This window comes from Homo sapiens, chromosome 20 (genome assembly GCF_000001405.40).
Source record: "Homo sapiens chromosome 20, GRCh38.p14 Primary Assembly".
Taxonomy (NCBI): Eukaryota; Metazoa; Chordata; class Mammalia; order Primates; family Hominidae; genus Homo; species Homo sapiens.
In genome coordinates, this window is record NC_000020.11 from 23,013,474 (window position 1) to 23,035,310 (window position 21,837).

The 21,837-nt window shown below is 46.4% G+C and overlaps 1 long non-coding RNA gene across 15 annotated transcripts in view; it reads right to left on the reverse strand.

Annotated features, from left to right (window-relative positions):
• The window catches only part of LOC101929707 (uncharacterized), a 35,095-nt gene extending 17,766 nt beyond the window's left edge, over positions 1-17,329 (reverse strand). For 7 of the 15 annotated variants that reach the window (XR_007067740.1, XR_007067738.1, XR_007067736.1 and 4 more), the window contains exons 1-4: positions 17,071-17,329; positions 16,186-16,229; positions 14,013-14,122; positions 3,283-3,385 (exon numbers count right to left, since the gene is read on the reverse strand). This is a non-coding gene — a long non-coding RNA (uncharacterized LOC101929707). Of the gene's footprint in view, positions 1-1,457; positions 1,503-3,282; positions 3,386-6,780; positions 6,973-8,494; positions 9,239-9,828; positions 12,809-14,012; positions 14,123-16,185; positions 16,230-17,070 lie in introns of those variants that run through there. The other 8 variants (XR_007067742.1, XR_007067743.1, XR_007067744.1 and 5 more) reach the window with 8 other exon arrangements.
• Positions 17,330-21,837: the final 4,508 nt, after the last annotated feature.

Genomic DNA, 21,837 nt, shown 5'->3' on the forward strand with positions numbered 1-21,837 from the left:
TAAGAAAATAACTAGAACATTGAAAGCAAGTAGCTGCTCCCTTGCTGAACACATATTTGACAATCCAGATTATGTTCATCCCTGGGGACAGTGCAGTGCACAAGCAGAGGAAGTTTCTGCTGTCCCAGAGCCAGAGACAAAAAAAGGTCAGTAGACACATAATTGCACAGCTAATAATATAGTGCTGAGTCATCCTAATAAAATGATCAAACGTTGGCTCCCGCCTAGTCTGAAAGGTAGGAAACACGGTCAGACAAAGAAATGCACTGATGGTTTGTCAAATCGGTAGAAATTGGCAGGTAAAAATTAAGAATTGGAAGTAACACCCAGATGTGAGTTAAAGAAAGCACCAGCCAGGCACAGTGGCTCACATCTGTAATCCTAGCACTTTGAGAGGCCAAGGCAGGCATATCACCTGAGATCAGGAATTTGAGACAAGCCTGGCCAACATGGCAAAAACCCATCTCTACTAAAAATATTCAGGTGGTAACATTTCAGCTTTTAGAAGAGACTAGGGGCCAGGCTCTGTGGCTCACACCTGTAATCCCAGCACTTTGGGAGGCCACAGTGGTTCGATCACCTGAGGTCAGGAGTTCAAAATCAGCTTGGCCAACATGGTGAAACCCTGTCTCTACTAAAAATACAAAAATTAGCTGGGTGTGGTGGCAGACACCTGTAATCTCAGCTACTTGGGAGGCTGAGGCAGGAGAATCGCTTGAACCCAGGAGGCGGAGGTTGCAGTGAGCCATTGCAGTCCAGCCTGAGCACCAGAGTGAAACTCCATCTCAAAAAAAAAGAAAAGAAAACACCAGGTATAGGAAACAGTGTGTGCAAAGGCCCTGGGGTAGGAATTGTGCTGGACTGTTTAGCAGAAACTGCAGTTTATCAGTGAGCCTGAGACAGGCTAGGGTTCAACAGGCAAAAGATAAGGGTGAAGAGCTAAGCAAGGTCTCACAGGTCAAGGTGAAGAGCCAGGATGATGTTCCCTCAGCCTTGGAGAACCCTGAAGCTCTGAGCTAAAGAGTGGCATCTCTGGTCTCTTTCATTTTTATTTATTTATTTTTTTGAGACAGAATTTCACTCTTGTTGTCCAGGCTGGAGTGCAATGGCAAGATCTCAGCTCACTACAACCTCCACCTCCCAAGTTCAAGCGATTCTCCTGCCTCAGCCTCCTGAATAGCTGGGATTACAGGCACCTGCCACCAAGCCCAGCTAATTTTTGTGTTTTTAATAGAGACAGGGTTTCACCATGTTGGCCAAGCTGGTTTCGAACTCCTGACCTCAGGTGATCCACCTGCCTCGGCCTCCCAAAGTGTTGGGATTACAGGTGTAAGCCACTGCGTCTGGCCCCTAGTCTCTTCTAAAAGCTGAAATGTTACCACCTGAGTATTTTGATTTCAATCTTTATTTCTAATTCTTCTAAAGTTATAGCAAAAATATTTTTTAAATATGCTTGCCTTGCATCCATTGCTAACCCCAGCTTCCAGCTCTCTTGCCAGGGCCTGGAAAACAATGGAGAAATAGAAAGGGAGCGAATGTTCACTTCACTGCCCAGCATTCACTCCCAGGATGGGGAACACCATGAGCATGGCAGGTGCTCCTAAAGCTGCAGAGCCTGGGGGTGGCAGGGAGGCACAGCCACCCAGGTGAGACCGTCTGGGCTGCTCTCAGAACACAGAGAAGGTCCACAGCCTGCCCTGGTGATACAAGGCAGGCAAGGCCCCACATTGGGGCTTAGCCTGAGAGGGCTCTTGGCTTCGTGCAGGAATGAATTCAAGGGCCAGTCTGTGATGTTAAACAGTAGATTTTCTTGAAGCAGATGTGCACAGCAGCATCAGAGGCTCTGCTCCTCATGGAGTGGGGCTACCTTCAGGCAGTGTGCCCAGAGCAGCAGATCAGAGGCAGGTCTGCACTCACATTCTTACCCAGTTTTAATTACATGTAAATTAAAAAGCAGAGTATGCAGACATTTCTAGAAAAAGGATGGTAAGTTTTGGATCATCTGCTCACTGCCATGGAAAGGGGTGGTAACCTCTGGATGTTGCCATGGCAATGGTAAACTCACATGGCACACTGGTGGATGTATCTTAGGGAAAGCTACTTCCACTCCATCCCTGTCTTAACTAGTCCTCAATGTGGTCTGACATCTGAGACCTATCTCCAGAATTGAGTCCCACCTCCTACCTCACTGGGGCACACTTTATTATCCAGGGCCTTAAAGATGTGTTGTTGGCTAGTTCCCTCCCCTTTATCTGATCGGGCTCATCCTAAAAGGGGCCTCTTCAGAACCTGCTCTTGGGCTCCCCTTCCCCAGGCCTCAGGTGTGTGGCCCTCAAGCTGAGGCTGCCCATGGCAGGCTTCTGCCTGGTCCTGGGCTGATCTTGGTGCCCGAGCAAAGCAGTTCCTGCAAATGGAGGCCTAAAGGTCCCTCCTCCCATCAGTCTGTGTGTGGAGTTTCTAAGTTCCTGCGGAGACCCAGCTAAAGCTCAGCCAAGGGCCTATTACAAAATCCCCAGGGATCTGAAACATCTCAGAAAGTGTTAAATTTGACAGACACAGAGGAGGTGATATGATATGCCAGGCTCATACTACAATGAATGTTCATATTAAATCCTCATAACAAGTCTATAAGCACAGCTTCTAAAATATCTACCTTCTAGATTAAAAACAACAACAACAACAATAAAATCATAGGCACAAATATACACACTGTCTGGGCCAGGGTCACAGAACTGGTAAAGACACCTAGGATTTGAATGAGCATCTCTTTCCAAAGTCTGTATTCTTTCTCTCTACCATGCTGCCACAAAACCCACAAGCTTTTAGATGAATTGCAATCCCCCTCCACCTACCCCCACCAAGATCCCACTATTCAGTGAGGCAGCAGGCTTCAAGTGCAGCTCAATATGGCCCAATTGCTGAAAGAGTGTTTTGTAAGAAATAGTTCAGGAGGAATTCAATTTCATAAAGACAGGCTTCTTCATAATCAATGACGTCTGAATAACATTTTTATCTAAAAGTATACTCTATTCTGCTGTAGTTCCTTTCTGATAAAACTGAGTATGTCTTCCATTCCACGTTGCTTTGACATCTACCTATTTGCTGAGTGCCTGACATTATTCTAATAACTTTACTCCAGGCATTGTATTTTTAAAGTTCTCCAATTTCTATTTTTAATCATTTCTCTCTCTCCACTTAGAATTTCCATCTTTTTGTTTATTATAAGCATGTCTTCCTTTACTTCATTGAGCATACAGCCAATAGTCACTTTAACATCCTCACCTGCTGATTCCAATGTCTGGGTCCTCTCTCTTCTGTTGTCATCTTCCTGGTGCTTCATGTACTGAGTAATTCCGTATTGTCTTCTGGCATTGTGGTCAGAATGCTGTGGAGTGAATTATCCTCTAAGAACAATGCTAATGGTTGTTTATTAGCTTGCTTATTTGTTTTAGCTGGAAAATAATTCAGCTGGGCTCAAACTGGAAACCCTCTTTTTCAGGGAAGAGAGCAAATGCAGTCAGCTCCCTGATCCTCAGCTGGGTGCCTGGCGCCTGCTCTGTGCCTGTGTGGCTCAAGGGTTGGTCAGGGAAGCGAGCAGAGTTCATGCACCCCCTCTCTGGACTCCTTTTCTCAGGATTCTCACTCCCTAGCAGCTGTGGTCCTCTCAACTTTGACCTCTGGTTCTTCATGCCAGTAAAGAGGCAAATTATTGATCAGGGTGTTAACTTCCCAGAGTGGCACAGACCAGGGCCTGCCCTTAGTTGAAACCCTGAAAAAATTGGGCAGCTCACAGCAGGTCATTCCAAGTATTGTCTCTTCCAGAACTGAAAAGCTCCTTTCCAGACCTTTCTGCAGGCCCCCGCTGACCACTTAAACGTCCCCCTCATTTCAGCCTCATTGCTGCCCTGCAAGGAGGGGAATGCCTTAAAGATCATACCCATTTTACTGAAGGGGAAACATAGCTCAGAGAAGAGAAGTTATGGCTTCAAGATAACAGCTGGCAAATGTCAGCCAGGAATCAGACCTGGGTCAGCTGGACTCCCATGCCCACATTCTTATTCTTTCGGCTGTGAAACCATCCTTAGCTGCTATCATAGTTGTGTTTGTTCAGCAGTGGTTTTGAACAAGCTATCAAAAGAAGCTGTGCTCTGGAATGCAAAGTGAAGAGAGGTGCTGAGACATGGGGTGGGGGGAGGTGCTCAGAAGGCTCTGAAGGGAACACAACCCCCCTCCATCCTTCGCTCAGAAGGGAACACAGCTGCAGCTCCCCTCTTTTAGTTCTAACTGGAGAGCAAGGCAGAGACCCTTCACAGATGCTGAGAGGGCTGGGAGGGCTAGCCAGGCCACCTGTGACCTTTTTAGACTTGCAGAAAGCAGGAACAGAGAATATTCTTCAGAGTGCTTGGAGGAAGAATGCAAACCTCCTTAACTGATAAGTGTTGAAGAAACCTGGATACTAGAGACCCCTGTGCTTCCCTGGCCAGAACGAGCCTCTTCCAGCACCAGAGGGGAAACGAGTAGTACCTGCCACAAACCCAGAGCCCAGGGAGTAGGCCAGACAGGGAGCCAGAGAAGAAGCTGACTGTACTGGTGCTCATGACAAGCTTAGGTTAATTTCCCAAGACACAATAGAGAGGAGGACATGCCTGCATTATATGTGGGCAGGATCAGGATGAGAAACCGGCGACACTGCAGAGAGAAGGGGTCAACTCCCTGTCCATCCCTACTCACTCCAAAAAGATTCCTAGGCCTTGGTCAGGAAATGATTTGACTTTTCTGGAAAACTCATGCAATCTGACTCTTCTAAGAGACTGCATGAACCCTGGGTTGTCTGAGTTTGAAGCCCACTCCACTGTCTATCAGCTGTGCTGCCTTGGAAAAATCACTTCACCTCTTAGGACCTCTATTGTGTCATCTGTAAAATGTGGATCATAATAGTCCCTACCTTGCAGGGGAAGGGAGAAGTTGGAGGATCAAATCAGTTAATATGTGTAACACTCTCAGAACACTGCCTGAAATATAAGATGCACTAAATATGTGCTAGCTTCTATTATTATTTGTACTTAATACTATCACTGCTGCTATTAATATGCCTGCTACTGCTATTACTACTACTGTTGTTGTTATTATTACTACTACTATTACTACTGCACCTGTTGCTATTATAATTATTACTGTCACTACTGCTGCTGTTGCTATAATTATCACTACTCCTATTACTATTGCTGGTATTGCTATTACTACTACTACTACTACAATTATTATTCATGAGGAGAAGCTGAGTGGCTGCAAATGCTTTCTTAAGCTCTGCATCAATTCAAAATAGACACAGACTCAAAAAACACAGTGGTACAGTTGTCAGATTTAGCAAATACAAACACAGAATGCCCAGTTAAATTTGAATTTTATATAAGTAGTGGTTTTTTAGCTTATGCAATAAACTAAAAATAAGTAAGCTCCAAACTATCGTCTCATACAATATTTGGGACTTATTTATCCTAGAACATGATTGATTGTTTACCTGAAATTTAAATTTAACCAAGTATCCTGTAGTTTGACAACCCTACTTGGGAAGTGGGTGGTGACTTGTTCCTTGAACACCATTGGCCTTGTGTTCTCGACACACACAGACACACACACACACACACGCTGGCAGGAGGCTTCGCTCTGGACTCATCTTTATAAGGGCAGCGTTCCGGGCTGGGTTTCTAGAATCAGAACGTGGGCCAGCATTCGTGTTCATTGGACGGTAAGGGAAGAGGGTGGGGATGGGGAACAGAGCTGAGCCAGGATGAGCCCCACTGCATGACGACAGCATGAATGACCCCCAGAGTGGGTCTCTCCAGGAGACAGGAGAAAAGGACCCGCTGTGGGTCCATGTCACTCATTGCAGGGAGCAGGGGAGTCTTTCTGGGAAGGTGGCTCTCCTTGGTCTGAAGGATCATGATACCTGCAAGCTGGCTCCCCCATCTACCCTAGTAACATCCAAAGGCACCCCCAGAGCTGCAAGGAGTTCAAGAGCCAGGCACCACGCCATGAGTGCCACTCAGTGGCTGTCAGTGCAAATGCCCAGCAAGACCTTCTGGGACAGGATGCAGCAGCTGCAGCCTGGAACCTGCTTTCTCCTGTGAACAGAGGCAGCCTGAGTGGAGGAAATAGCCCTGCGCTGCAAAGACTCGTTGGCAGTGACAGTCGGTGCCAGGGGCTGGCTGCAGACAGTCGTTCCATGCAGGGATTTGGCTGAGGCAATGCTGACTCGGGTAAAAGGGCTTTATGCTGTTCAAGGGCTCTTGACAAATCGCCTGTATCTTTTTAGAATTCTGCAATTCATAAGCGCAGGTTATTTTGACAAAACTTAGTGTCTTGGTTGTCAGATTCAAGAGAAAAAGCACAAAATTAAGGCTTATCGAAATATGCAGAAAAACACGTTGCCCAAGGCCTGAACATGGCCAGTCATGAGATGCCTGTGACAGATGAGAAAGCACCTGTCATTTCATGTTGAATTTTTGAGGAAGGCTTATTTCAATGAATTACATTTTTTTAAAAAAAAAGATTGCTATATCTTGCAGTAAAAAACACTAGACTTTACCTGCGGTAAAACACTAGACTCTAAAGCTTCTCCTTCCCACCTGCACGGTGGCAGTCAGATAATCAGATGCTCAGAGACAGGTTCCCACAGTCCCACAGCCCACATCTACTCAATCCACAGCCCTCATGGCACCCTCCTACCCAGGAGCACCTGGAGAATGTCCTGATGCTGTATGGGGCTGAGGGAAGTACCTGCGGAAACACAGCACATTTCCCCAGAAGGCTGCAGAGGTCTCTGCTACTCCGTGGAATCCTAGAACCCCAGCTCTGCGAAAGGGAACGAGGCCTATGAACTACTCACAGGAGCTAATTAGACATGCAGGAATTTACTTAATTAAATAGTTACGTATTGAACAGATGGGCTGTTGTCAGAGGTATTCGAACCAGAGCGACTCCATCTTGAATAGGGGCTGGGTAAAATAAGGCTGAGACCTACTGGGCTGCATTCTCAGAAGGTTAAGGGGTCATGGGGTGAGATAGGAGGTTGACACGTGAAACAGGTCACAAAGGCTTTGCTGATAAAACAGCATGCAGTAAAGAAGCCAGCCAAATCCCACCAAAACCAAGATGGTGACGAAAATGACCTTTGATTGTCCTCACTGCTCATTACATGCTAATTATAATGCGTTGGCATGCTAAAAGACACTCCCACCAGCGCCATGAGAGTTTACAGATGCCATGCAATGTCTGAAAGTTACCCCATATGGTCTAAAAAGGGGAGGAATCCTCAGTTCTGGGATTGCCCAACCTTTTCCCAGGAAACCCATGAATAATCCACCCCTTGTTTAGCATATAATTGAGAAATAACCATAAAAACAGCCAACCAGAAGCCCTCAGGGCTGTTCTGCTTATGGAGTAGGCATTCTTTATTCCTTTACTCTCCTAATAAACTTGCTTTTACTTTACGCTATTGATTTGCCTTGAATTCTTTCTTGAGTGAGATCCAAGAACCCTCTCTTAGGATCTGGATCAGGACCTCCTTCCAGTAACACTATGGGCCAAGCAGGGTTTTAGACAGCAAGTCTGTCGTAACAAAAAGATCTCGGAAAATAGAGTGTGGTTTGTAGCTATCGTTACTGACAGTCTTCTCTTGAACACGGTCACAGAGTTCTGGAAACTTAACACAAACAGATATTTTTAAGAAACTGTGTTATTTCTAACAGTTGTGTTATTTCTAATAACTCGCAAATAAGTCATAAACATATCTCAAAAGAAAAGTATACATGGGAGAAGTCAAATGTGGACTGGGAGGGCCTCCATTGTGGCCCTTTAAAACACAGACAAGGTGTTGTAGCACAGCAGTAAGCTTTTCTGGAGGCATTTCCTTCAGGCTCACCACCCATTGTTTGGAAGGAAAAGTGAGCACATTTACCACCCCTGGCAGAGATCTAAGGTCCTGATTTCAGCCCACAGCACTTCAAGCTAATCAAGAGACTCTGGTATATTGCACTGTTTATACATCCAAAGCCACACCTGTTATAGTGAAGCCCTCTGTATTATCTTAGTAACTTGTATTTGCAGAGGAGGAAGAGCTTTAAAATAACAGCCATTATCTTGTGTATTTGGCATCTCCAAAGTATTGTCCAGATCTGCACATTGTAACAATGCTAAAATTACCAGGAAAGATAGGCATCTCCGTAATACCTCAGAGTTGCTCAGTGAGGCAGGCAAAGCAAAGAAAAGGGAAGGTAGTGCCTCCCCTAAGTCCAGGCAGCCTCACCCATGGCAGGACAGAGGAGAAGGCACCCTGCAGGACAGAAGAAAGAGTATCTTTTTGATGGTGTAAGTCTACTGGAATGCTAATTGCACATGTGGATTAGACACTATTTTTACCACCCCCCCCCAAAAAAAAAACCCAGGTTCTTTTGCTTGGCAAGTAAGAAATCAATCTCCTTGAGACTGTAGGTTTGATCAACAGGAGTTTTATTACTTGGCACAAATAAGCATGCTGTTGGGAGTACTCTCCAAAGCCATGTCTCCCTGAGGGAAAGTGACAGGAGGACTTCATGGGGAGATGGAGAGAAGAGAGGACGCGTCATGGCATGTGGAGGAGGAGCCTCAGTGGTGCAGACACAGCGAGTCATCACACCAGCACATAGGTTGCATGTTATGGTGATGAAGCTGTGGCTCATCCCAGGATGGAGACACTAGCATGGTCATGAGGAAAGTTCACTCGGGTTTGTCTATAAGCTGCTGAGGTCTACTGAGAGCTGGTTCCAAGCAATAAGACAACTGCATTCCACACAAAATGCAGGGCAGTAGGCTGTAAAACACGCTGATTGTTCAAGGCGATTACATTCCTATAATCACTCCAGACCCTCTGGAGTGGAGAATCATCTCTGTCCCATAAAAGACAAAGAACTTCACTTGAATCCTCCAAAGATGGTGACAGGTGGATGTCAAAGAAATGTAGGCATGGAGATTGTGGGGTTTGCTCTGGTACCGTTGGTGCCAGTAGGAAGGGAAAGAGGGGATGTCGAGTTTCCATCCCAGGGGGCAGCAGTGAGAGAAGGAACATGCCTGGGGGCAGTGGAGACCCTCTTCAGACAGACACCAATGGCCAACCAAAGTCAGGAGCACTGGTTCTCAAACCGAAGCACCAGCAGAAAGAGACCCTCTCTTTCTGTTCATGCTGTCAGTAGACTGAGGTCTGAAAAAAAATTAGAGCTGCCTTTGCAATGATTTCATCAACAGTTGAACAAGTTAAATGCATTGCTTTGTCCTATTCGGTTGTGTCAAAGAATTAAAAGGTAAAGATGAACCTCTAAATTTAACATTTTATTTGGGAAGAAAGAATTGCAAGACCACATATTGGGTGGTTTTCGGTGTGTCTAAAGAACAAAGAGATGGTTGGAGGTTTTATAACAAAGAGAAGTGTTATGTATTGCTCTTTGAGAAAGTTCATTGGCACTAGTACAGTTCCGGTGAGGTGGCAACTTTTGATTGGTAAGTAATGGAATGGGTATAATTGGTCTTAGAGTTGCAGCAGGTCATTTTAGCAGCTATTAGATAAAACTGGTTTCAGGTTACAGCAGCCAGGCTTGCAGAAAATTATATTCTTGGAGCAATGTTATGCATCCTGAGCACCTTTCCCTCTTGGCTTCTTGGCGGTTTTATTTGGATATGATAAGAATGACCCGATTTGTATGATCAACTTTCACAGTTGTTTCTTGTGTGTCTTTCTGGCTCTAAGCATTTCTAACACCTTAGAATAGCAAATATGGAAGAAAAACCAGCAAAACATGATACTCTTTAGTCAGCAGAAAGAAGAGAAAATGCAGAATGCTCATGGACATCTAGCTCCAGTGATGGGGGCTGAAGGGAGCTGAAGGGAGCACCAGCAAGTGAATGAGGGGTGAGGGGTGAGGGGTGGGGGACCGCAGGCCCCTACTCCATCTTTCTCAGCCTTTCTTTTTCATTCAAAAGACCACTAGGATGGCTAAATAGTAGAAAGGAGTATTTTATTGGTGAAGCCATCCTCACAGGGTTAGCAAGAATTCTGGACAGAAATAGAGTTATAATTAAGCATTAATCAGCCTGCACTTTGACCCACTTCCTTGTAACTGAAAGTCATGCAGCACTGATACTGACCACTGGCATCCCTATTGTTCCTATGAATAGGATTTCTGATGTTAGAATCATAAGGCTTTTGTTTAAGAACTGCCTAGGGTGTTTTCCAGATCCCAGATTCCTACTAAACACCCACCAGCATGAAGACCCCCATAGAAGAACAGAATCAGCATGAGAAACAGTTTCACCACTTCCCCATCCCATGACTTCACCCTGCACTTTTCAACCAACCAACCGTCCCCACACTTCAGCCCACTCCAAAACCGTTAACATCCCTTATACCAAACTCCTCGGTGTAAGGTTCTTGTATCGGTTCAAACCCCCAGAGCACGCCAACAGACAACAGGAGGCAGTGTGGAGCAATATGCTGTTCTAATGAGTGCCTGCGTGCAGGCAGGCTGAGGCCTAAAATGGAGTCAGCCCCAAGTGAGGACGGGGCATAGGTTTTACAGTCTCCTGTAAACAGGAAGTGTCCTAGTATAATGTAACTGCTACATTGTACACAGACGGCCTCTTTCTCGATCTTCAGGGGTACCTGTCTTCCGGCCAGGGTAGGTGTCTTCTGGCCGGCTCTCTTCCTGCTTCTGCTGACTTGCTGATGCACGCTGCTGACACAAGTGGCCTTGCGCCCTGGGACTGGGCCTGAGAAGGGAGGAGTCATTCATCTCCTTAAGCTTTCAGGCCCCAGAGAGAATTGTACACTTGGAGAGATGGATTTAAGGTTCCTTCCCATCTTCTAGATCAGGGTCCTAGGATTCAATCTCCTTCTCTTTGTGAATTGGTGTCTTGGCGGATTGACTAGCCCTGTGCCTCGTTCATGGATTTATTTCAGTTACACTGGCAATATAAGTTTGCAAACCAGGAAGAGACTGTCTCCAGCATATGACATTGGCGCTCTCTCTTTGAAGAGGGAAGGGGCAGAATGGATTTTATGTCTCACAGGGCCTGTATCACACGATAGAGTTACATGTACTCAGTAGGTTTGGGGGAAAGCTATGCATGTGGAGAGGGGAGGTGAGCACACGCACAATAGGCACAGATGTATTACCATGCATTCCGTGCTCCCTTTGGGGTGGGGTTTCAGCATAAAAATAAGGTAGAATGTGGCTTTTTCCATCAAAAAGTGAACTGTAGGAGACAAACACAATGTGTGCCCAGTCTCTGTAAGCTGCTGGAACTGATTTGACGTCTTCAGTTGCTTATCAGAAAAGAATGTTTCTAAGGTCCTCTGTCCAATCAGAGTTGTGGTGGTCTGGGTTGTAAATCGGAGGTAGGAATTTGCCTGATAGCTCTTATTGTTAGGGAGTTTAGCAAGGGTGTGCTTTTCTTGTAGCCCTAGGAATTTAAGGAGTTGCTCCACCAGAGAAGAAAACTTTTCTGTTTTCTTAACCTTAAAGTCCACCTTAGTTGATAAAGGGCATCTATTTTGGTCTCTCCGATCTCAGTTTCATGTGCTACATTGCAGTATGTATGAAAAGAAACAATTGTCTTTATCATTTCATTTTTTTTCTGATTTCAAGTATAGTTCATGCTTGTTACAGAATATTTGGGGAAAAGCAGATCTTTTTAAAAGAAATACTACCCATCATCTCACTACTAAAAAATAACTATGTTAGTTACTAAAATTGTTCTTCCTATATGTCTATACGCACTTTTGAAAAGTAAATTTCCACAGAAAAGTTGTAACAATAGTTCAAAGACTTTCATGTACTCCTTTCTCACATTCACTTGTTTACATTTTCCATTATGTGATTCTCTTCCTGTCTAAAACACTTGACAGTAAGTTATAGACATCCTGCAAACTTACTCTCTAAATATTTCAGCTGGCTTTTCTTAAGAACAAGGACATTCTCTTACATAAAGAAAATTGTAAGGTTCTTGTATCGGTTCGAATCCCGAGAGCGTGCCAACAGACAACACGAGGCGATGTGGAGCAACATGCTGTTTTAATGAGCGCCTGGGTGCAGGCGGGCTGAGGCCTAAAATGGCGTCAGCCCCAAGTGAGGACAGGACAAAGGTTTTATAGTCTCCTTTAAACAGGAAGTGTCCTAGTCTGACGTAATTGCTACGTTGTACCCGGATGGCCTGTTTCTCAATCTTCAGGGGTACGTGTCTTCTGGCCGGCTCTCTTCCTGCTTCTGCTATCTTGCTGGCACAGGCTGCTGATGCAAGTGGTCTTGCACCTTGGGACTGGGCCTGAGAAGGGAGGAGTTACTCATCCCTTTAAGCTATCAGGCCCCAGGGAGAATCTTACAAAAATCAAGAAATTTCACATTGAACAGTACCAGTATGAAATGCACAGGCCACATTTGAATGCTGCCAATTGTCCCAACTAGGGTCTTCCTAGACCCTCTCCCTCTCCTCGGCACCTGTCACTTGACCCGCATGTTTTTGAAGAGTAGAGATCATTTATTTAGTAGAACATTCCTCAGCTTGGGTTTCCTGATGTATCCTAAGGAACAGATTCAGGCATGCATCTGGGGCAGTGATGCTGCAAACAGGACTGGTGCTCTTGTCAGGGCATCACATCCGCTATTACGTGATGCAGGTTCATCCCAGTGTTGCTGATTTCAGCTTTCATCACTTGGTTTAAGGTGTTGCTCACCAGGTCTCTCCACCAGAACTGTTACTATTTTTCCCTTTGATATACCTATTTTTAAAAGTGAAATTCCCAGTCATTTTATCTTACATTGACCGAGAATGTTACTATGACTTTAGAAAACAGCTCTGTCCCATAAAAGACAAAGAACTTCACTTGAATCCTCCAAAGATGGTGACAGGTGGATGTCAAAGAAATGTAGGCATGGAGATTGTGGGGTTTGCTCTGGTACCGTTGGTGCCAGTAGGAAGGGAAAGAGGGGATGTCGAGTTTCCATCCCAGGGGGCAGCAGTGAGAGAAGGAACATGCCTGGGGCAGTGGAGACCCTCTTCAGACAGACACCAATGGCCAACCAAAGTCAGGAGCACTGGTTCTCAAACCGAAGCACTAGCAGAATCCTCTGGAAGGCTTGCTAGATGCAGATTCCTGTGCCCCAAGAGTATATAATTCAGAGCATGGAGGGTAGAGCCCAGAATGTGCATTTCTAGGCAGACTCAAGAGAATGCTGAGGCTCCTGGTCTAAAGATCCCAATTTGACAACCAGAGGCCTAAAAGAACAACACTTGGGCCATTCTTGGGCTTCTCTGAAAGATGAGTGTCAAATCAGTCACTCAGCAAATATTTATTTTTAGCATGAATTTTGTTACTAAAACAGAAGAGTTGAAACCTGCTGGTGTAATTGCATCTAACGCTATGAAAAGACATCTCCAAGAGCTACTCCAGATTCGGTCTTTGAAGATGATTGCCAACCCCTTGCCATCCTGTAGCCAAGCTTCCAGGGGGGTTGCAGAGAGTGCGTACGTATAAACCTTAAGCACACCTTCTTTTACTCTGAACATGGCTCCATCCACACTTTTCCAGCCATATTGAACTGTGTGAACAGTGTTAACAGCCAAAGATTCTCCAGTCCAGGCACCCACCCAGAATCCAACTCTTATTGCCAAGTGAGACTACTGAGGGCCAGAACAGGCAGGAGAGGGGAGGTCAAGAGAAGCAAAGGCAAGGGGCCCTCTGCTCCAGCCTCACAGAAAAAAAAATGAGTCCTTAGATTGTCCCCCATCCACCCATGCACATGGTTCCATCCTGCCCACCTTCTCTGATCTAGAGGAGAAGGCTGAGTAATTATCCGAATTCTCTCCCATCGTGAAGTCTGTCCCAGGCCCCAAGCTGAAGGAGGTTTGTCTTCCCTGCTCCCTGAGTCACTGACCCAGGCTCAGGTCTGGCTGTCATCGCATTGGGAGAGCTCTTTGCTTACCTGCCTGTCTCTCCTCCCACAGCAGAGTGAGTTCTCAAGAGTAAAGGGCAGGATTTCGTTTTCACCTATCCCTCAAAATGCTTTATCCAATGTCTGGAGCTTACAAAAACCTAGATGGATGAATGAATTAATAAATAAATGAACAGGTAGCCAAGGACTCCAGCCCTAGAAAGCCAGTGGGATTACAAGGCAGAAATCCCCTGTCTCAGGAGCCTAGGTGCCAGCCCAGGAGCAGCACGGCAGGAGAGAGAGAAAAGCCACATGTCAGGGGTGTGGGCTGGGGACTCAAGTTAAAGGACAAAGCAAGAAGTCAGTCCTAACCTGTGTTAGGAAGAAGGCAGGCCCAGTGCTCAGTGTGTGCTCAGCTTGAAGACAATCAGTCCCAGAGCTGAGGAAGGGGTTCACTAGTGGGCAGGGGTTATGGGATGTATAACTCTTCAGTTATGGGAACTGCAGGGCAGGGAGCCAGATGGCTCAACCTAACCTCAAGAGCAAAGGAAATAGGTCCCATTTCCCACACCCCAAACTTCCCCATTAAATACTAAACTATACAGACTGGCTCTAACCAAGTTCTCACAGTTGCCCACTTCCCATACTCTGCTTTATCTTGACAAAACTTGGGTCAGACTTTTCTTTTCTATGGCTCTTTTGTATAAAAGAATAATTAAAATGCAAATAAATCCATGAAGTATCATGCAGGATGAAAACTCATTCAACATGCAGCATCAGTTCACAAGATCAGAATCTCTTTTTTCTGAGAGGTCAAGATTGAAAAACTGGAGAAATTTCTTAGAGGAAGATGAGAAGAGAGAGAGGCCATGTAGACAGTCCTGGATGGCCAGTTCCGACTCCTGCCTTCCCATTCAAAACAGCACTTGGAGAAGCTTCAGGTCCTTGGAGGCACTGTTGAGACTGGCTTCGTTTTCTAGAAAGTCACAAATTTCTAGAAAATGGGAGAAAGTTACAAGCCTTTCTCCCATTGATCTTTCCTCACTGGGCTGCCCATTCTCCAGCTGCTGGTTTTGCAATTGCTGTTCCATTTTTCTGAGTAGAATTTACATTAACAGCACATTTCAGTGACAGTACTAATGATTCTGGCACTTCCTAAAGGGCATAAACTCTGTGAGCCATTAGCAATAAAAGGAGCTGTCAAGCATCACTCTGGATACACTCAGCCGGTGGCATAATCCACTTCGCTGAATATTCAGAATATATAGACATATATAATTAAATGACTTTATTAGGGTGACTGTTTTCTGCTGAAGTTATTTGAGTCATGCTTGATGACTTTTTTCAATATAAGTGATTTATAAGATTTATAGAGAGACTACTGCTACTAACAATGATGAAACCAGTTATGCAATCCATCCTTGTTAAATGAACTTTTACCAAGGCTGTCTCCCTGTCCTTACCCTACAGGACTCTACCCACTCCTGCCCATCCACAGAGGGTGGGCAAAGTGTGTTAAATGGCACTGACCCCTGATGACACTAATTGAACCAGGCCTGGATACTGGACCCAAGCTGGATCCATCAGATTCCCTTCCCTCGTCATCTGAACTTGGACCACTGAATATAATTTATTCAGAAAGTGGTGGATGACCAAGAGGTAACACTTGAGGTTGGGGTCAGCTCAGAGCCAAATGCAAATATAGCAAGCAGCTTTGCTGAGAAAAAAAATAGGGTACACTGAAAAAGCATGGTAGAGGTGAGTGAGACTGAGTGGTTTCCCAGTGTTGGGAGACAATTCTCCATGGCCTTTCCATTTCTGCACATCTTGTGAGCTAAGACTCTGACAGCATCTCCTCTGAACTGTCCTTTCAAAGATGTTTGTCCAGCAAGAGCCTTAGGAAACAGAGATACTGTCTCCTTCTACAGAGGGAAGATTAGTATTCAGATCAGGATGATAAAGACAATATCTTTCTCTGGGACAAGGTTTGGGAAAGTTTGCTATCAGCCCCTTGTAAGATTAAGTCTTCTTAAATGCAAGGTTCCTCAATTCTGTGCAGTGTCCACGTGGACCCACCCACATACCATGAGCTGTGGGAATGGGAAGAGGGGTAAGGGGAACTGGTGCCCACACTGACTGCTGGGCCCTAAGTAATGAAGCCCTAGGTGTCTAACCGAGGAGTGCCCTGTCTTCTGCTAGCATCTGTGAAATTGTGGGAGGTTACCTGGTTCGTTCTCAAGTAGAGTAAATCTTCAGCCCTTCATAGTCCTTGACAAAGCGTTGAGAAATTGACTAGTGAGTGACTCAAACTATGCAGTAAATAATAGTAGAGAGCATGGTGTACTAACAAAACAAAAACCCATTTCTAAACTGAGAAGTTTGTAATCCATCCAGAACCATTGTTATAATGAGCTCTTTTCGCTTCCAAATAGATTTGCAAGAACTTGTATTGAGTCTATTTTTAAAAATATGCATTATACTCTGAACACTGAAAAGGCAGAGTTTTCTAAGTATTGATTCCTGTGTCATTCAATTGTGAGAGCATTTGAGTTTCAAAAATGTTTTCAAATGCTCCTGTAATTTTCCTTGTGGGGTGGTGGGAGGAGTGAAAGTTTACTTTCACTGTTGGTAAAATGTCTAGGAACAGAAGGTCTGAATTAATAGCCTAGTTCCTGCAATAGCAATGATTATAAGGGTAAGTTTGAGAACATAAAAGGTTCAGGATCCTAGGCTAAGCATGATACGTATGTTAAATGAGTAAACTGTTTTGAACAGAGTTGAGCACATAGTAAGTGCAGCATAAATATTTCTTATTCTTATCATTACCTTATCTCATTCAATGAAATACAAACTCTTGTGTTCATCTCTCAGAGATGAGAAAATCAAGGCTTAAAGAGGTCAGTAATTTGCCCAAGGACAGTGGTTAGAGTATTTTTGGCTGCAAGCAATAGAAAATGCAATGAAACACTAATGTTAATTGTTTTACGTAGAAAGAAATTCAGATTGGCTGCCTTATCAGCTCTCACTATGATCAAGTAGCCTGGTTCCTTTCTGCTGTTTTCCTTGTCATCTTCAGTGGATCAGCTATCACACTGGACAAGCTTCTCACCTCATAGTCACAGGGTGGCTGCAAGAGCCCAACCTTTCCTAGAAGTTGCCTCTGCAGATTTCCCCGCATGTCTCATCAGTCATGGTTGGGCCACGTGTCCACCCCTGAAGTGATCCCAGGTTCCAGAGAGGAAACCAATGTTGAGCACACAAATACATTTCAAGTGCTGTCCTACACAAAATCAGGGATCTGCCCACGAGGAAGAAGAGGCGGTGGAGCTTGGAAGGTATGCAACCATGGCTGAGACTGTAAGAGCCACGGTGGAACTCCAGGTTCTGAACCTCAAAAGTTCCACTTTCCATTGTGATGAAAGCATCTCAGGACTGCACTGCCCAGCTTGGCAGCCACAGCCTCACATGACCACTGAGCACTTGAAATGTAGTTAATATGCTAAGAAAGCCCATTTAAATTTTTATTTTCAACTTACTTAAATTCAAAGAGCCACAGGGGTCTAGTGGCTCCTGTATTGACAGCACAGGGCCACCTTGTTAGTGGCATCATTTATAACCCTGGGCAGCATTGCTATAGGAATAGCCATATCCTGTAGGTCTATAATGCTGTAGAAATGGAATGTGTGGTGCGAATGAAATTTAAAATTTAAGTAGCCACGGTGAAAAAAAAAGAGAAACAAGTAAAATTCATTTCATAATATGCTTTATCTCTATTTCCAAAATATTATCATCTCAACATGTAAGAAATATAAGAAGTATTCATGAGATATTTTACATTCCTTTGTTCATCATAAGTGTTTGAGATCCCATGTGTGTCTGACACAGCACCTGACTTTGAACTCACCACATTTCGAGTGCCCCATAGCCCATGTGGCCATGGTTTAGAGATTTCAGAAAGCATTCATGGAAAATTCTCTTTCCTGATCCTCATTCACTATCCTGGGAAGTGGCCAGATAAGGAAGCAAGGCCCAGAAGGGCCCAGCCAGTGGCTCTCAGACTCCAGAGTCATCGAGTCCCTCACTCGAGGGCAGGTTAACTCACAGATGGCTGGCCCCCACCCTCTGCATTTGCCATCCAGCAGGTCTGGGTGGGTACCAGGATGCGGATTCGTAACAGGAGAGGCTGATGCTGCCAGTCTGGGTCCACATTTTGAGAAGCATTCCTCCAAGGGTCCCACCCACGCTCATACCCCAGTAAGTAGATGGCTCAGAATTGAAATCCTTGCTTTCCATCTTACATCTCATTCTCTTTATATGCACAACCATGAAGCCAGGTTGCTAAGACAGTCTGAAAACAACTACCAAAGAACAGAGGTGCTGCTCATGGTTACCCCAGTGTGCTGCAGCCCCTGTCCTCCAGACAGTGACAGCAGAGTGGACCTAATTTTGATACTTTGTAAACATTGGACCAATGTGACCTATCCTAGTCCCGTGCCTTTCTCTGGCTGACTTTTCTTTTATCTCATCTGATTGTGGGATCAATTTATTTAAAGGAAACCATTTAATGAAATCTTAAGGAAGCCCTCACCTTTATATTTGGTTTAACAGTTGAGTTTTTGGGGTACAGCTGAGGTCTCTATCATTGCAATGTCTAGGGTGTCCCTGAAGTTCAGGTGGGAATCTGAAGACACTTTCCTGATCCACGCAGGCGACTTCAGACAATGTCCTACACTTAGCCACGGGTAAATCATGCTTTTAATATGCTCAATGGCAGAACTGGTCAAAGCCACTCTGAGCTGCTGAGAGCACTTCAGATTATTTTCCACACCAGCAGGCGATAGAAGTGGCATTCAGGGACTGCTGTCATTGCTGCTGAGATCCAAGACTCCTCTTGGTGCACTGTGATTTGCAGGGAAAGCTGTGTCTCTCTGACTTGCAGGCCAGAGGTTCTGAAGATTGCTTGAGGTTGCAAGTACCTCCAAGCTTGAGCAGCAGTTTTGAAGTGTGGAGATGGGAGGTGAGTTATTCACATCTCTAACAAAGGAGCTGCTGCTTCTGGCTTCAGGAGGGGCTGAGAGGCCCCTGATTCACTATCTCATCACTGGGCTGGAAGCTCCACAGGGATCAGTTAGGCCTGTGGGCCATGCTTTCAGCACTTGGAGGAGAAGATCCCTTAGACTCAGCCTTTGGCTCCATGCCACTCTTGACAATGTACAGGGAAGCCACTTGGACCTGATGCTGGAGTTTAATCAACAGACAAGGAAGAGGCCCCAGTGTGTACTGGGCAAAAGAACGGGACGGGTGTGCTGAAAAGCGTCTCATAAACAGACTTTGTTTTCCTGTGTTTTAACTCAGCGTGAAAGTTTCTCTAGGTCTCCTCTCCTGGGGGAGAAAGGTAGCGGCTGGTTTCCTGTTCCATTGCTTCTTTAGTATCCTGAGAGAGAACAGCCATGGGCACCCAGCTGCCCCAGCCTCTTCCTGTCCCAGGGCCCCGAGGCTGCCCTTCAGCGGTCTCCAGCTTCCTGCTCCTGTAAGCAGGGGCCTCTCTTTTTGGCTTTCCTGACATTTCTCCTGACCTCTTCTGCTAGCCCTCCTGAACGCACAGTAATATCTGTACATTGCAGTTGGTCCCCAGGCTGCTGCCTCTCTGTCTCTCCATCTAATGTTGCATCTGTGCACTTTAGAAGTACCCGGGAGCCTTCAAAATATTTGGATGCCTGGACACCACTCCAGATAATTCAGTCAGAGTCTCTGAAGACAGGGCCCAGGCATCCCTGTGTGAGGCCTTCAGGTAATTCCAGCATACAGCCTGTATTGGAAAGCTCTGTATTGAGGATGAGGCCCTCATGCTGCAGAGGGGGCCTAGAGCACAGGGAAGTAAGTTCCTGGAAGCACTAGCTGTTTATCACATAGGGCTAATAACCAATGGGGACAGTCGTGCATGCTTCTCTTCTTACATGCTAGCTTACTATGCTTGGAGGCATACACATGTGTATGGGGAGAGGAGGGCAGAATCGGGGAGCATTAGGAGAAAAACCTAAAGTAGGCACAGGAAAGATTCCAGGGGCTCACACATGAGGCAGGACAAGAAGAAATACTTTCTCAGGAAAGGGAAGGGGCCGAGTGTTCAATGGGCAGAGAGGACAGCAGAAGAGAGGAGACCAGGAAGACAAGATAGCCCCCAGCACTTCCACACTAAGCCCTGGAAAGGCTATCTGCAGAGGAGCCACCTAAGGGTCTTCCCAAGACCAGGGTTAAAGGGAAAAGCCCCTAAACTCCTCTTCCCTCCCAAATCTGAGGTTGCTCTTGTTCCCTTCCACCAAAGGATGGCACCAAGTAGAATGACAAAGGTGCCATCTCCTTCCTCTTTCTCAGGGAAGGGTCTCTCTCTTAAGGACAAAGATGTGAAAGGTCTCTCTCTTAGGGACAAAAAGGAAAGGACAGACCAACCTACAGAGTGGAGGAGTGCTAGACCAAATCCTCCCAATACATCTATTTGAGTAGCAGAGACTGGAGACAGTGGTTGAGGTCAACTATGGGGCTGCACTGGTGCTGATCATGCCCGTGCTCCCATCCCACACCTGGATAAACAGCAGTGGGCAGCTTCCCCCACCCCCCAGTCTTAGAAAGGCCTCCTCCAGTTGCAACAGGACTCCCTCCTCCCCATCGCTGTCCCAGCCACCCAGCGGAAAGCTGAGACCCCACCCCCCAGGTGGCCAATTTTAGACCCACTAAAGGCCTTTCTGGGCTGTACTGGGGGCTAAAGGGGGCCACCATCCCACAGAGAAGGGGCCAAAGACAGCCAGGATCCTAAAAGTCAGAGCTACTTTAAGAATAACTTTCCCAGGCCAATCCCCAGTTCAGGAACGTTCCTGTGCCCTGTGCCAGCTAGAGGGACTAGGGCTGGAGCCGGCGGCTGCTCCTGGGTGTCCAGTCCAGGAGCCAGTGAACTCACTATCTCTGGAGTTTAGCAGAAGAAGGGTAATTCCAGGCCGGAACCCCTTTCTTTCCCGACCTCTCGACCACAGTCCTCCCCAGGCACATTTTAGTGGCCAGGGATGGAGACCCGCGGATAATGACTGAACCAGGTCACAGGGTGAAGGTTCTGAGATGTCCGGCTCCCGTAGCTTCTGCCAGTTCCCGAGGGAGCTAGCACAGGCTTGGCCTTCTTTGGTGGCATCTCTGCCTCCACCTGTCCGTCTCCATTCCTTGTGCCCATAGCACCTCAGCTGCTCGGACACAGAAGTTAAAAGGTCCGGCATCTGCACTTGTCCAGAGTGGGTTGGGGAGCAGAGAAAGGAGTGGTGAGCTGTGGGGAAAACTGGACATCCTGACAGACCTGAAATTCACCAAGCCGCCAGTGGAAGCCTCAGGTTCCGCCTCTATAAAAGGGACTCAGCCATGTGCAAGGATGGGTCGTCGCGAGGATTAAAGGGCAGGGTGAGGGGATGTCAAGTGCAAGGCAAGTGGTCCAAGCTTCCAGGTGGTCCCTGACCAGTTCCGGGCACATCTTTACCCAAAGGGAGGACTCCGGGACCCCCAGCCCCGCCGCCGCAGACCCCCTGTAGCAAAGCAGGGAACTGGACCTCAAAGGGCTGCTGGGGAAGACGGGATCTGAATAGAGGTCTGAAGGAAAGAAGCCAGGCGGGGGACCCCGGGAGGGCCGGACGGGGCTGGGGGTGCTGTTGACACTGGAGCCGGACTGGAGACCTGGGAACCTGGGGCAGAGTCGGCAGCGGGGAGGGGGCGACCGAGGTGGGAAAACGGGGCGGGGCCGGAGACGACTCCAGGGCTGGGTGAGGCGCTGACCCCCAGGAGCTGGGGTGCCGAGGGGCGCGGGCCACAGCGGTGCGAGCCAGTCGGGCGCCCGCGCGGT